The sequence below is a fragment of the Homo sapiens genome, chromosome 2 (genome assembly GCF_000001405.40).
Source record: "Homo sapiens chromosome 2, GRCh38.p14 Primary Assembly".
Lineage (NCBI taxonomy): Eukaryota > Metazoa > Chordata > Mammalia > Primates > Hominidae > Homo > Homo sapiens.
The window spans coordinates 186,455,649-186,472,231 of record NC_000002.12 but is presented as its reverse complement, the minus strand read 5'-3'; the positions used below and the strand labels follow the sequence as shown (position 1 = coordinate 186,472,231).

Below are 16,583 nucleotides of genomic sequence, written 5' to 3'. Positions count from 1 at the left end.
GAGGGAGCCTTTGTCTACTTTTTAATGTGGTGGTTTTTTGCTTGTAAATTTGTTTAAGTTCCTTATAGATGCTGAATATTAGACTTATGTCAAATGCATAGTTTGTAAATATTTTCACCCATTCTGTAGGTTGTCTGTTTACTCTGTTTATAGTTTATTTTGCTGTGAAGAAGCACTTAAGTTTAATTAGATCCCATTTGTCAATTTTTGCTTTTGTTGCAATTGCTTTTGATGTCTTTGTCATGAAATCTTTGTAGGTCCTATGTCCAGAGCAGTATTGCCTAGGTTGTTAATATGGTTCAGCTATGTCCCCACCCAAATCTCACCTTGAATTATAATAATAGCCAAGTGTCAAGGGTGGGGCCAAGTGGAGATAATTGAATCATGGGGATGGTTTACCCCATACTGTTCTCATGGTAGTGAATAAGTCTCACATGATGGTTTTATAAAGGGGAGTTCCCCTGCGCAAGCTCTCTTGCCTGCTGCCATGTAAAATGTGACTTTGCTCCCCATTCACCTTCTACCATGATTGTAAGGCCACCCCAGCCATGTGGAACTGAGTCAATTAAACCTCTTTCCCTTATAAACTACCTTTATAAACTGTCTTTATTAGCAGCATGAGAACAGACTAATACTGTTGTCTTCTAGGGTTTTTATAATTTTGGGTTTTACATTTAAGTCTTTAATCCATCGTGAGTTAATTTCTGTATATGGTGTAAGGAGGGGGTCCAGTTTTAATCTTCTGCATATAGCTAGCCAGCTATCCCAGCACCATTTATTGAATAGGAAATCCTTTCCCCATTGCTTGTTTTTGTCAGCTTTGTTGAAGATCAGATGGTTGTAGGCATGCACCCTCATTTCTGGGCTCTCTGTTCTATTCCATTGGTCTGTGTGTCTGTTTTTGTACCAGTACCATGCTGTTTTGGTTACTGTAGCCTTGTAGTATAGTCTGAAGTTGGGTAACATCATTCCTCCAGCTTTGTTCTTTTTGCTTAGGATCACCTTGGCTATTTTTTCCCTTTTTTGATTCCATATGAATTTTAAAATAGTTTTTTTCTAGTTCCATGAAGAATGTCATTGGTAGTTTAATAGGAATAGCATTGAATCTATATATTGGCTTGTGCAGTATGGCCATTTTGATGATATTGATTCTTCTTATCCATGAGCATGGAATGTTTTCCTATATATTTGTATCACATCTGATTTCTTTGAGCAGTGTTTTATAATTTTTATTGTACAGACTTTTTACCTCTCTGGTTAGCTGTATTCCTAGGTATTTGATTCTTTTTGTGTCAAGCCACTAAGTCTTAGGATAATTTGTTACACAGTAATAGATAATTAACACAAAGACATTGAAGAAGACATTGAAGAAGAAAAGACAAGGAGTTAACAAAGAAGTAGAAGGGAGATAAGGAAAGAGTTGTGTTGAGAAAACCAAGAAGGAAGAGTTTTCAGAAGAGAAATGGTGTCAAATCCTATAGGAAAATGATCATGATACAATTGAAGAAGCCCTTTGGGTGTGGTTAGAAGGACACTGGGTGGCTTAAATGAGATGAACTTGATTGGAGTTGATGGTGATGGAAGCCGTATTATAATGGGTGGAACAATCAAATAGAATGTGGGAACAGTAAATATAAATGACTTAAGGATATTGGCTGTTAAAGTAGATTGTGGGAATGACAAAAAGTAAGAAAAGATATATTTAAGATTGTGGGGAGCTTGAATGTGTTTATAGATTGAGAAGTTGAAGGTAGCCTAGATGCAGAAATTATAACTGAATTATTGACAAAGCACAATCAGGGAGGGAGAAGAAAAGATAGAGAACATAGAGAGAGGTGTTCTCGTTAGGAAAGTGAAGAAAGTACCAGTCTCTGTGAGATAAGAGGAAATGGAGTATGAATGGACAAAAATATAGGTATTTGTAGGTAGATGTAAGCAGAGGTGAGTTTCTTTCAATAGTTGACTGTTTTTTTTGAAGTGGTCATTGGCCAAAAGTAAGGGGGCAGGGATTGTAGTAACTTACAAACTTACTGGGATGCATTCTGAGCCCATGTAAAGTCATCTTTCCCTCCTTTTGATCTATCTTTCCACAGTCTACCTTTTCTCTCCTTTCCTTTCATCTCCTATTGAGTACTGCTAGAGAAAATCATCCTAATTGGTGTTTTTAATATATTTAAATATATCCTTTTCTATGTGTTCTTGTGAGGAAAGGACTTTTTAAAAAAGGAATATACTACTAACTTTTGTTAGAGGAAAAACATTTTTGTTACTTCATTGAGGCCTACAGAATAGGGTGGAGGAAGTAACACGTTGATTCATTACTGAATGCCTTATTGAATGCTATAGCCCAATTTTCTGTGCGACTTTCTGACTCCTATTTATTACAGAAGATAAATGGCCTACTAACTCAGAGTTTATTGCCTGACTTACCTGCAGTTTTTTTTCTTTTAACCAACTACAATAAATGTACAAGTAAATTGGAGGGAGAATTGGGATATATTAATTCAAATGTCAAGTGCAAACAAGACCCAAAAATCTACACAGCAAATGGTATCCTGCAGTTAATGGTCTCCTTTTCACATTGTGGGGCAAAAGTAGCACACACAGATTTGGAAAAGCCATTGTGTAAAAGGAGACTAAATAAATGCAACAAACCTTATTTCATGGCTTTGATCAAGTTATTAATTTCCTATGGAAATGTACCAGATCCTCCAAATAAAATAATTTCAGATGAAAAATCAGGGAAGTTTTTCTGACATTTATTTGCAAATCCAATTTGTAATTTGTGTTTTACTGCCATATATCAAGGCTAAAACTCAAGATACCCTTTTTGTTGGTTAAATAGAAAGTAAGTTTTTAAATTGCTGTAATAAGAAAATTAGTTTTAATGGCTATTTGTGATATCGTTTCCTGGATAACTACAAGAATCATATAATGAGTTAAATGTTTCAAGGTGTATTCACACATCTTACCTAGTATGAGTTCTGAAAACTTGGTTTTGAAGGTATAGTTATGATAATCTCTGTTTTTGTTAGAAAACTGAGGCTTACATTAATTGTCTAGAGTCACTTTTTAAGTAGAAGAGCCAGGACCCTCTTCCTACTTCAAAGTCCAGGTTTTTAACTCATTAGGTAGCACAGACTTTGCTAGTGTTTGGTTTTCAGTTTGACCAGTATTTATCAACTTTCTTCTTGATACTCTGCTTGATATACCTTAGTGAAATTGTTTTCTTAAAAAGTGATTAACTTATAACTGCAAAAATTTTTGTTTTGTAGTTTTAAATTAACTTAGAAAATTATACATTTTTCTGTCCATAAAGTTTATTTAAAAAAACAACTCCAGTTTTTGCATATGATATTAACTTGAGATATTAACAAGATATAACAGTCAATTTTGCTGATTTCAGATGTTAAATTTCTTAATATTAAAAACATCATTTTTACTATGTAAAAACTGTGATTCACCATTTTTACCATAGGGGATGGGGAGTAATTTTCCTTCTTATTTGTATGGGCAAACATCTTCTATACATAATTTAAACAATTCTTAAAATGATCTCCTTCAGCAAGCTTTTTCAATTGCCTTTTTTTTTTCCCCTCAAAGTCGTCTCTGGCAAACACTGCGTGACATCATATTTATTATCAAATCAATCAAGTATTGTCTTCTCATATTTCACCTGCATGAGTCTTTAAGTTTTGGGTTTTCTCCATATGCTTTTTTTTGAAGAAATCTTATTTCCTCTCATGGCTTTATCTAATAACTGCATGTAGGTGGTTCAGAAATGATTACATGTAGACTCCTTGGTTTGATTCCTGAAGTAGCAGCTCCTATTGAATCAGTGCCACTTGCCAGAGTCTTAAACGTGCTCAACCTTTATTAACTATTCCAAATGGTAGTTAGTGAAACCTTCTCAAATAGAGTTAGTTATTTTCCTTTTTATAGTCTTATGTTCCTATATTTGCATTATAGATATTGTATGCCATCTGTTTTCCTATTTATCTCCCTCATCAGACTGGTTCCTTAAGGGTAGAGGGCCCATGTCAGAGTCACATCTGCTTCTCCTCTCCTCTTAAAGTAACTGGTACACACACATTCAACATATACATTCACTGAATAAATAAATGAGTGTTGAGCAACTATTCCATTTGTATTAGTTCTCAATGGCAATGTAATGAATTCCCCGAAACTCATTGGTTTAAAACAACAAACATCTATCATCTTCTACTTTTTGTCTGTCAGAAATCTGGTCTTTGGCCACAGGTGGTGGCTCATGCCTGTAATCCCAGCACTTTGGGAGGCCGAGGTGTGTGGATCACAAGGTCAGGAGATGGAGACCATCCTGGCTAACATGGTGAAACCCTGTCCCTACTAAAAATACACACAAAAAAGTAGCCGGGCATGGTGGTGGGTGCCTGTATTCCCAGCTACTTGGGAGGCTGAGGCAGGAGAATGGTGTGAATCTAGGAGGCGGAGCTTGCAGTAAGCTGAGATTGCCCCACTGCACTCCAGCCTGGGTGACACAGAAAGACTCTCTCTCAAAAAAAAAAAAAAAAAAAGAAAAAAAGAAGTCTGGTCTTGGCTTACTGTGACTTCTGGCTTTCCGGCTGCAATCAAGGGGTTGCCAGGGCTGTGATCTTATCTGAAGACTTGAATAGGGGAAGATCCACTTCTAAGTTCACTTAAGTGGTTGTTGAAAATATTCAGATCCTCATGGACTATTAGACTATCTTAATCCATTTTCCAGCTGTTTTCTATTAAGAGAGACATTAAAGAGATTTGAAAAATTGTGTAACAATGCTACCTTTCTTATTACTTTATTTTTCTGGAAAATATAGTTATTTTTCATAAAATATGCTCTTATGTAAATATAAATGTACTAAACATGTCAACCTATTTAATAGGTTTACTACTGTTATTTAAAAATGAATAAATATTAATGAAACATTTCAGAATTAATTTCTAATATGGCAAGTATTGAGAGATTAACTCTCATAAACAGAAGCTCTTTGGTTTCCCAATATTTTTAAGAGTTCAAAATGGTCATGAGAGCAAGAAGTTTGAGTGCAGCTGTTATAAATAGTAAGCAACAAGTTGATCTCATGGCCTGGGTGGCTGTTCTCATTTGAGCAGGCTAGATTTGTCTGTCTGTCCTGAAGAGGTGAAAAAAAACTTTAGGTCTACTTCCCTTGTTTGCAGAGGCTGAGCCAATTTTCATTACACAGGTAGTCTTAGTCTATTCCTGCTGCTATAACAAAACACCACAGACAGATAATTTATAAATAATAGACTATAACAGAAATTTATTTCTCACAGTTCTGGAGGCTGGGAAGTCCAAGGTCAAGGCACCAGCCTCTGGTGCTCTTTGCTTGTTGTTGTGTCCTCACATGGCAGAAGAGACAATGCTGTGTTCTCACATTGCAAAACAGATGGAAGGGCCAGGCAACTCTGTGAAGTCTCTTTTATAAGGGCATTAATCCCATTCATGATGGCAGAGACCTCATGACTTAATCATTGCCCAAAAGGCCCAACCTCTAAATACCATCAACTTGGGGTTTAAGTTTCAAGGTGAATTTTTGTGAATTCAGTGTGAATTCAATGTGAATGAGGAATACAGACATTCACAGCACAGCAACAGTGTTCTTATCAAAGTCATGCTTGTGGTCTTTCATTGTGTGGTTAAGATCAGTGTTGTACTGCAGCTTGCCATTTGACTTTTGACATTTTTTGTAGCTAGTATTGGTTCATAAAAGTGGATTGATAAATTTTCAGAAATTGTGTGCCCCAGCCATGAAAAAGCCATTATTAAAAAACTAAAATTATTCAAATGTACAAGAAAATAATTTGTATTGTTAACAAAGGTAATACATATCAGCATATCCATGCTCTTGAGGTTATGTCTATTGTATCTATGTAGTAGGTATATTACATAATTATGTGCTACTGAACATCTCTTTCCAACTCTGTGTTCAGTGATGTCACATGGTTAGCTTGAAATCAACTGCAATGGGAACATTTACAACATGGAAGCAGGCAAATCCTACAAATTAGAGTTCTTTTTCCCTCCTCTTTCCCACAGAACTTGTTGGTTAACATATCACTGAATATGATCATTTTTTGATACATTGAATTTTGTTCCTCTAATGTTTATACTCCATTACTGGTAGAAAATTTTGTCTTTGTTCTTTCTCAAGACGAATTTTTATTACTTGATAGAAAGGAGATGTTGCTTGTCAATAGCTTGCCTTCTTGGATTTTGTTTAATGGAGAGAGCTTCTGAAAAATATTCAGGATAGAGGAGAAAGCTGAATTCCTTTGATGGAAATGAGTGAGGGAAGATTAATTCTCCAAAACTGAGACTAGAGGTTTATGACTCCCAAGAATAGTGGTGATCTACACTATATTCCCTGACAGTAACCGCAGGAACTGGCAAGACATTTGAGTGGTTTTACTTTGTGTTTCTCCTGGGCCCAGGGCAACGGGACTGTCTGCTTTGACAAATATTCCTGCACTGAGGTTTGACATAGGATGAGCAGAGCTGTCTTCCTTTAGGGACTGACTATATTACTCTGTTTTATGTTGCTTATAACAGAATACTTGAAACTGGATAATTTGTAAAGAAAAGGAATTTATTTCTTATGGTTGTGGAGGCTGAGAAGTCCAAGGTTGAGGGGCTGCATCTGGTGAGGGTTTTCTTACTGGTGGGGGCTCTCTGCAGAGTCTCAAAGTGGCACAGGGTGAGGGGGCTGAATGTGCTAACATGGTAGCTCAGGTCTTTTTTCCTTTTCTTATAAGGCCACAAGTTCCAATCCCATGATAACCTAGTAATCCATTTACCTTTTAACCCATTGATTCATGAATATATTAATGTATTTATGAAGGCAGAGCCCTCATGACCCATTCACCTCTTAAAGGACCCACCTCTCAACACTGCCACATTGTGGATTAAATTTCAACATGAATTTTGGAGGGTACAACTATTGAAATTATAGCAGGGACTAAGTGACCTTGGAAAATGAGATATCAAAGGAGAAAATGATAGTGAAAGATGAAAGGGTGCTTGTGACCTCTTAGGACCTAGGTTGAATTTCCTGCTGGCCTGTGTGATGGACACTTGGAGTTGGAATTAATTTGATTTAAATAAAATAAAAGAAATTTGATATTTCTTGCATACCTGTTTGTAGGAGAAAATACCATTCATACCTATTTTATCCGTGAGGGTTCTCCAGGGAAATAAAATTAATTAATTAGTTTCTTTATTTTTGAATTGGTTCATGTGTTTTTGGAGGCTGATGAGTCTGAAAATTTGTAGGGCAGGGCAGAAGGATGGAAATTCAGGCAACAGTTGATACTGCAGTCTTGAGGCAGAATTTCTTCTTCTCTGAAAAACTTTAGTTTTGCTCTATAAATCTTTTATTATTATGGTTACCTGTATATTTGCTTTTGTCATCATAGACAAAATAAAAAGGATATCAAAATGTCTACAAGGGAAAAATAGGGAGAATAAAAACATCAAGCATTTGCTAGTGCCAAGTTTTGTAAACTAAAATTCTTTTAAAAACAGATTTTTTCAAAAACAAAATTGTATTTACTTAAGGTATACAGCGTGTTTTTTTTTTTATTTCAATAGCTTTTGGGGTACAACTGGCTTTTTGTTACATGGATGAACTATATGGTGGTGAATTCTGAGATTTTAGTGTACCCATCATCAGAGTAGTGCACATTATACCTAAAGTGTGGTTTTTTATCCCTAGCCCCCTTCCCACCCTCCTACTTCTGAGTCTCTAAAGTCCATTATATCACTCTGTATGCCTTTATTTACTCATAGCTTAGATCCCACTTATAAGTGAAGGCATATGGTTTTTGATTTTCCACTCCTGTGTTACTTCACTTAGAATAATGGCCTACAGCTCCATCCAAGTTGTTGCAAAAGACATTATTTCGTTCCTTTTAATGGCTGAGTGGTATTCCATCATGCATATATACCACATTTTCTTTATCCACTCATTAGTGAATGGACATTTAGGTTGGTTCCACATCTTTGCAATTGTGAATTGTGCTGCTATAAACATATGTGTGCAAGTGTGTTTTTCATATAATGACTTTTCCTTTGGGTAGATACCCAATAGGGGGATTGCCAGATTGAATGATTGATCTACTTTTAGCTATTTAAGGACTCTCCATACAGAAAAACAGATTAATTCTTTAAGCATTCACAAACTTTTTTTTCTCTAATTTTACAGAAATCTGCTGTGACTGTTTCATGTGCTACATGTCTGTTTTATTCTCATTCCTCTTATTCCCCTAGCATTTTTTTAAAAAAACACTGATAATAGTTGGTATTTGAAAAACTCCATCAATCAGGAAAAAATAATTCTTATAGACAAGGAGACATGCTATTATATTTGGAATAAAATTGAAAGCAAAAATTATATGAATCAATGGATGTTACAAAGGGACATAAATGGATTGTGTATTGCACCTTTCTTTCTGCAGCCGCTTCCAAGGTCCTTCTGTTCTTCATAATAAGACAAAAATAAAAGTTTAATCAATAGGAATGAGCTTGGTTCCGAGATAAGAGTTAACCTTGGATTTGAATGATTCTATTGATTTGGCATTGTGAACCTGAGGCAGGATTTCATCTAAGGATTGGGGTGTACTTTAGTTTAAAATAAGTGCTTCTTAAGTTGTTGGCAAATAGACTGGAATTGCCAATAAACTTGGCTGAGACGGGCTCAAACAATAGCTAATCTCATAGAAAGATAATAACTCAGATAAATATAGGAGTCAGAAAATGTTCCCTTTTAAAAAAATCTTTCTACACTGTAATTATCAAAATAAATATCACCAGTTATGAGAAGTGAAGCTAACCAAAATACCTCAAGGACACTTACGACCTTCACTGTGGAAAATAGGAGCATAGTTTTAATCTTTTCTTTCCCTTAAGAACTATATTCTTCTTTTTACCTACTCTCACTTTCAATTTCTGTAATCTAAAATATCAAATTCACCTGCAGGAAAGTCATGTTTTTGACAACTTCTTAAACAACTTGTTTAAGAGGTTCTGGCCCTGAAACCTTAGATAATGATAGTGGTTAGTTGATTAGGCATAAGGGTGTGGAGGGCAGGGGGAAGACGACACAAAACAATTGTAACCTCACGCCCACTCCTCCCTCCCCTTCCCCAATTTCCCATTTGTCACACCACCCCATTGTAGATCTAGTTCAACCAATGAAATAATCAGCTTATTGCAGAGGGAAGGAAGTTTACTACTGGAAATAATGCAGGTTTGTTTTAAATGTTTTGATGAAGCTCACTGAGGTTTTAATTCAAGTCGATAGTATATTCTATTTTGTTTTATTTTATTGCCTGCTACAGATTAGGGATGCAATGTTGAATAAGGTGTGGCCTCTATTCTTAATTTAATGGTAGATCTAGACATGAAGTAGTTACTATACAACATGGTAAATTCTGTAACAGAACTCTGCAAAGTGTTCTGAAACTATAGTGCCAAGAACAACTAACTCTGCTTTAGGGTAACAAGAAATTAATTTAAAGAAAAGTAGGTCTTATAGTATTTTGGAAATGTGTTGACATAGTAAAAACTAATTTAAGGGAAAAAAGGCCTCTTCCAAAAATAAGAATCCAAAATGCAAGGATATGAGAAAACAGATCAATTGACCTAATATCAGCAGACACAGGCAGGTATAACAAAAATGAGATGTGTAACACCCTATAATTACAATACGCAATTGAGGGAAGCCTAGGTGTGCATCTTTGCAATCCCTGGTCAAGAGAAGAAACCAGCTGGGTTAGACGGCTCAAACCTGTACTACCACCAGCATTTTGGGAGGCCGTGGCTTTCCCTACAACATGGCAGTTTGCTTCTTATAGGCCAATAGGTGAGTGTCTGCTGCTGCTTTGAGTGTCTTTTAAGAAATCATCTGATTAGGCCAGGCCATCCAGCATAATCTCCCTTTTGATTAACTCAAAGTCAACTAATTAGAAACCTTAATTACATCTGCAGAAATCCCTTTATCTTTGCCATACAATATACCCTGATTGAAGGGAATGATATCCCATTCTATTCACAGAAACTGCCTACCCCAGTGGGGAGGTATAAAAGGATGTGGACCAGTGGAAGCCATGTTAAAATGTTGTCTACCATATGTTAATCATACATTACATACATTTTTTCCTATTCTAACAAAGACGCTGAGAAATTTTATACCTTAATAGTATTTAAGCCTTAGATTTTATCACAGCACTATCCAATAGAAATATAAACCACAAATGTGAACCACATATATAACTTTAAAATTTTTAGTAGCCAAATAAGAAAAAGTAAGAGAGCAACAGGTGAAATCAATTTTAATATATTTTATTTAATAAATATAGCCAGAATATTATCATCTCAACATGTAACCAATATAAAACATTATTAGATATTATATATATATATTTTTAATACAAGGTCTTTGAATACCACATCTCCATTTTGGCTGGCTGCACCTCAAGTGCTCAATGGCCACAGGGGGCTCTTGGCTGCTGAATTTAACTGCACATGGCTATCACATGCCTTTTCTCTTTTTTTAACTTTTATTTTAGGTTTTGGGATACAAGTGAAGGTTTGTTACATAGGTAAACATGTGTCACAGGGGTTTGTTGTGCATATTACTTCATCACTCGGGTATTAAACCAGTACCCAGTAGTTATCTTTTCTGCTCCTTCCCCTTCTTACACCCTCTCCCATCAAGTAGATCCCAGTGTCTGTTGTTTCTTTCTTTGTGTTCATAAGTCCTTATCATTTAGCTCCCACTTATAAGTGAGAACATGCAGTATTTGGTTTTCTGTTTCTGCATTAGTTTGCTAAGGATAATAGCCTCCAGCTCCATCTATTTTCCCACAAAAGACATTATCTCATTCTTTTTTATGGCTGCATAGTATTCCAAGGTGTGTATATACCATATTTTCTTTATCCAATCTGTGATTGATGGGCATTTAGGTTGATTGCATGTCTTTGCTATTGTGAATAGTGCTGCAGTGAACATTAATGAGCGTGTGTCTTTATGATAGAATGATTTATATTCCTCTGGTATATACCCAGTAATGGGATTGCTGGGTGGAATGGTAGTTCTCCTTTTAGCTCTTAAGGAATTGCCATACTGTTTTCCACAATGGTTGAATTAATTTACACTCCCACCAACAGTGTATAAATGTTCCCTTTTCTCCACAACCTTGCCAGCATCTGTTATTTTTTGACTTTTTAATAATAGCCATCTGACCGGTATGAGATGGTATCTCATTGTGGTTTTGATTTGTATTTCTCTAATGACCAGTGATGTTGAGCTTTTCTTCATGTGCTCATTGGCTGCATGTATGTCTTCTTTTGAGAAGTGTCTGTTCATGTCCTTTGCCCACTATTTAAGGGGTTATTTTTCTCTTCTAAATTTGTTTTAAGTTACTTATAGATTTGTCAGATGCATAGTTTGCAAATATTTTCTCCTACTCTGTAGGTTGTCTGTTTACTTTGTCAATAGTTTCTTTTGCTGTATCACGTGCCTTTTCAACAATATCCACCAGGTGTCACAACTTTACAGCTCTAAACCAGCAACATCAACACTGTTCTTTTCTTGGTGACAAGAGTTAGGATTCTCTTTGTATTCACATATTTTCTACTTTCCACATATTTGGTATTTCACTTGAAGTTTTTGCCTAGATAATTAAGAAATTAAGCAATGTGAATTTTACTACTTAAATAATCAAATTTGAATTCAAAACTACTTGTATATCTGACACACCATTCCTTAATTTTTCTGTAATTTCATCCTAGATGATCTGCCTGGTGAGAAGGCAAATAATTGTGAATTACATGAACACTCAATTCTTAACAACATAATAATAATTATTTTAAAGTTAGATCATTTCAAATACCCAAGGAGTTTTCACAACCTCAGAAGCAATTAAATGGTTTTCTTTTTACTATCTCAAATTGTTTAATAGAACATATTAAAAATAGAAACCCAAAGTTTTAAAAAGTAACAAAATGTTCTATTACAAAACTGCACACTATTACTGCAATCTACTAATTGCCAAGGGAGGTTTCTACTTCTCACATACATAGTGAGCTCTGATGGGAGTATGATGTTTGCATTTATTCACAGTTATTACTATAAAAACAGACTTATTTAATTTACATTTGGTTATTTGTAGGTTGTGATACAATTTCCTTTTATATGACAGAAAAACTGCCTTTGTTTTTAATTTTTTTGGTTTTTACTTTTATAGTCTTTCACGTTAGGTATCTTATAGGTAAAATTAAATATATATTTAGAGACTGAGTCTTCTCAAATACTTTCTTCTTTTAGAAAATCATTAATTTATAGAATTTTAAAAAGTATGTACAGATGCCATACAGAATCAATCATGAATGGAGAGAAGATTGAAATGTGAGTTTTTATCACTAACTTCCGTAAAATGAGTGTAGTTTAGTTTTATATCAATAATTAAGCGTTCTCTTTGTCCTATTAGTTTCAACCACATGATATCTGTAAGATGAAAATAAACTTGATTCTAGTGAGAAACCATAATTATTTATCTCTGAAGGATTTGTACTGTCAATTAGGTTCAGAAGAAAGGAATCAGACTTGGCATCTTAACTCATATATTAAAGAGAGAAGTGACTAGTGTTGTAGCCATAACTATAGAATAAGATGGAAAAATCATTAAGTGAAACTGTGCAAATAATGTTTTAAATAAAAACATAAAATCTAAAATTAGGATAATGTATACATTTATTTGCCTCCTGTTTGAATACACCTTTTAAAAACACATCCAAGAAAAATTAACCACATATGTAAGTCATGTTTCTAAGTGAAATAATCAAATACATACAATTAATATTTGTTTGCTGCTCAACTATTCACACCTTTTTTTGATTTCTTTTGTGAAGAAATTTTTTCAAAGGCTGAGGGTTTGTTTATTCTTTTTGAAGCACAATGCTCACACAGTCCAAGAGATGGCAGCCAATACCTTTTGTAAAACAAATGACTTGTGTTGATACTTCATCATGGCAAATGCAGGTACTTTATTTTAATAACATCATCACTGAAGCAATTATTAAAAGAATGTAAATTGCTGAAATTCTAAATGAAAATCGCTGAAATTCTGAATTGTTAAATTCTAAATTCTAATTTTTGTACGTGTGCTTTAAAGAGATTGCTCAGAGAATTTTTCAAGGTAAACTGAATAGATTTCTCTCTCTCCTTTTTTTCCACTGAGTTCAGAGCAGTGGTTTCTGCCAGATTAACCTAGATTTACTTATAGAATAGTAGACTTAAATAATAAATTATAATATCGATAATTATTTCAGAATCATTAAAATTAAATACATAAAATACTAATAACATCATTTATTAACAGAATGTTTGCCAGAACTGATGACTGAGTTTTTTTTGGAATATCATAGTTACTTTTTTTGTTAGACTCCTAATTAAAATCAAGTCATTTTTATGACAGATAGGAGGGATTCTTCACAATGTAAGAAAAGCAAAGCAAAGTGAATATTTTATTTCTACATTTGTTTTAAGGACGTATTTAAATTCTGAATATATTACTTTGTGTAATATTAAGCTGCTTTGTTATGGGATTCTACAGGCTAAGGGAAGGCATTAAGGAAAGCCATTGCCTTGTTTTAGGCTATCTAATCAATTACAGTAATGGATCCAGGAACTCAGCTTTCCTAAATTCCAAAATTCAAATACAGAACCCTTTATATTAGTGTGTTAGGTTTGTAATGTTGTACAACAAATTTCCACAAACTTTACTGCTTGAAGAAACAGCCATTTTATTATCCCACACTGCTATAGGTCAGAAGTCTGACCATGGCTTAGCTGAAGGTCCCAGAAAGCTAAAATCAAGATTTTTTTTAGCTGTCTTCTTGTCTGGAGCTCATGTGGTTGTGGCAAGATTTAATTTCTTGTGGTTGTAGTACTGAGGTCCACATTTCCTTGCTGACAGTCATCTAGGGGCTGCTTTCCACTCCTAGAGGCCACCTGCATTCTTTGCCCTGTGGCCCCCTCTATATTCAAAGCCAGCATCAGATAATCTCCCTGACGTGGAGTCCTCTGATGCTTTGAATCTCTTTTATCAGGAAGAACCTGTTTCCTTTTTAGGGCTCGTGTGATTAGGCCAGACTCTCTGCGATTGTAATCTTTCTACTTTAAGGTCAACTGATTTGGGAGCTTAATTACATCTATAAAATGCTTTCACACTAGCACCTAGATTAGTGTTTGATTGAATGAGAGAAGGTGTTTGTATACACCAGGGACTGGAAATCTTAGAATTCTGCCTACCACAACCAGACTGTAGATTGTAAACACCATTTTACTTAGAAAATACATAGACCTTTTCACATTGGAGTGGTTAATTCATCATTAGAGAGGGGCTTTATTCATTTTTTGGTGTTAATGCACCACTTATTTTCTAAGTAATTTTATTCATACCAATAGCTCACCAAAGAAAAGAATGATAAAAAATAATCTGGAATGACCCGTAAAAATAACTTGCAAATACAACTGAGGATTTGAGACCCCTAATCTTGCAGATAACCAACTTTTAAAAGCTTTTTTCTAGTACCACCTCGGAACTACTGGGAATTTATGTCAAAAACAATGTCACCGGAAAATTTCTCCAGTACTTTTATAGTCAGATTTGGGAACAACTGTAATCTTAATATTATCTTATTTTAACTTGTCTGAGGCCCCTATTACCTAGTAGTACAGCCACAGCTAAAACTTTGGTTTCCAGACATTCAGGTCTAATTCTTTTTATATTGCCTACTGTGCCTGGTCTCCCATCAGTGGGAGAAGAGAAGGCAAATCTACATCTCTCCAAAGATTGCTATAAATGGATACTAAAGGGCTGGCAAACTCTCACAACTACCTGTTACTGGTATATTTTAATTGGAGACTTTCTGAACTAGAATTCTGTTTCAGCTATCCATTGCCACAATAATGCTATGAAATAAGCAACCACAAAATAACATAAAACCACAAAATGACATAAAATATGCAGTGATTTTTTGCTTATGAATGTATGCGTAGGCTGGTTGGGTCTACTTAATGCTAGCTGGGCTCACTCATGGGTTTGTGGTCCAATCCTATTTGATTAGCAACTTAAAAAAAATTTAGTTTATTTATTTATTTAGTGATAGGGTCTTACTCCATCGCCCAGGCTGGAGGTGCAGTGGTGCAATCACGATTCACTGCAGCCTCGACTTCCCAGGCTCAGGTGTTTCTTCCACATCAGGCTCCTGAGTAGCTGGGATCACAGATGCATGCCACCAGGCTGACTAACTTTTTTTTTTTTTTTTTTTTTTGTAGGGACGGGGTTTCTCCATGTTTCCCAGGCTGGTCTCAAACTCCTGGACTCAAGCAATCTGCCCACCTTGCCTCCCAAAATGCTCCTCCAAAAAAGGAGTGTGCCGCCACACCCAGCCTGAGCAACTTTTGTTTTTAAGGTAAGCACCTAAAGATAAACAGTTTGGATTTTCATGAAGGAAGAAAGTGAATACTAGAAATTACAGTCTGATAAATGGATCATGAGCAAAATGTCGAGGGTCCTGTTAACGAAGCCATGCAGAGAGGCATAATTGTCCCAAGATCCATTCATACCAAGTTAGCCTTTCTTATGTCCACCTCCTTACCCCTTGCTATTAGAGGTTGAAAAAGAATATTCCATGCTGCAAAGTGCATGGTGTGGTGTACAAAAAAATCCTGACAAAGTTGAAATTTGTCTCTCCGATATGAAAAAGACAAAAGCAACTTAATAACCATAATGTTTTGATTGCATATAAACATATGACAACAATGATCATCTCCAAGATTAATTTGGATGTAGCCTAATGATCACACACCCTAATCATAATGTCTTTTCAGAGGAGAACATTTAAAGTAACAACCAATTACTTAATGATATTATTTTTGTCTCATGTTGATATATTTATTCAACAGACCTTTATTAAGTTCACTTCCTGGGAGCCAGACTGTGATGGATGCTGGAGATATAAAAATGAATAGAACCCTGAACTTTGAAGGTTCAATATCTAGGAGTGGTGTTAAAAACCTGAGCAGTTACAGCAATATTATAAGTGTTATCATAATCAAATGAATTATGTTGATAAAATACTTATAACAAATATAATAATAATAAATCTACAAAGGGCAACAGGAATACAGAAGAGGCAATAGTTAATTTTGTCTTGAAAAGTTGGAAATTTTGGAAAAAAATCCAAAAAAATAGGAAATAAGGCATGAAACCATGTAGGAACATTTTACTGAGTCTTGGAGCATGAATTGTAAAAAGAAACCTGTAACAGCAGGAAAAGGACCAGCCTGTGAAAAGTCACAGCTTGAGATAGATTTATGTACTCTGGCACTGGCAGATGATTTAGTCCTGCTAGAAAAATGATGTGCATCATGTGAGGCAGAAAGGGTGATGGGAGTTGTGGCTAGAAAGCAGGTACCAACAGTAAGCTTGTTAAAGAAATGGGCTTACCTAACAGTAACCTTGTTAAAGAGTTGGGC

At 35.1% G+C, this 16,583-nt stretch overlaps 1 long non-coding RNA gene across 1 annotated transcript in view; it reads left to right on the top strand.

The window, feature by feature from the left end:
* Window positions 1–16,230, top strand: part of LOC105373785 (uncharacterized) — a 29,999-nt gene extending 13,769 nt beyond the window's left edge. The window contains exon 2 of the long non-coding RNA XR_001739147.3: window positions 15,381–16,230. This is a non-coding gene — a long non-coding RNA (uncharacterized LOC105373785). The remainder of the gene's footprint in view (window positions 1–15,380) is intronic.
* The last annotated feature ends 353 nt before the right edge of the window (window positions 16,231–16,583 follow it).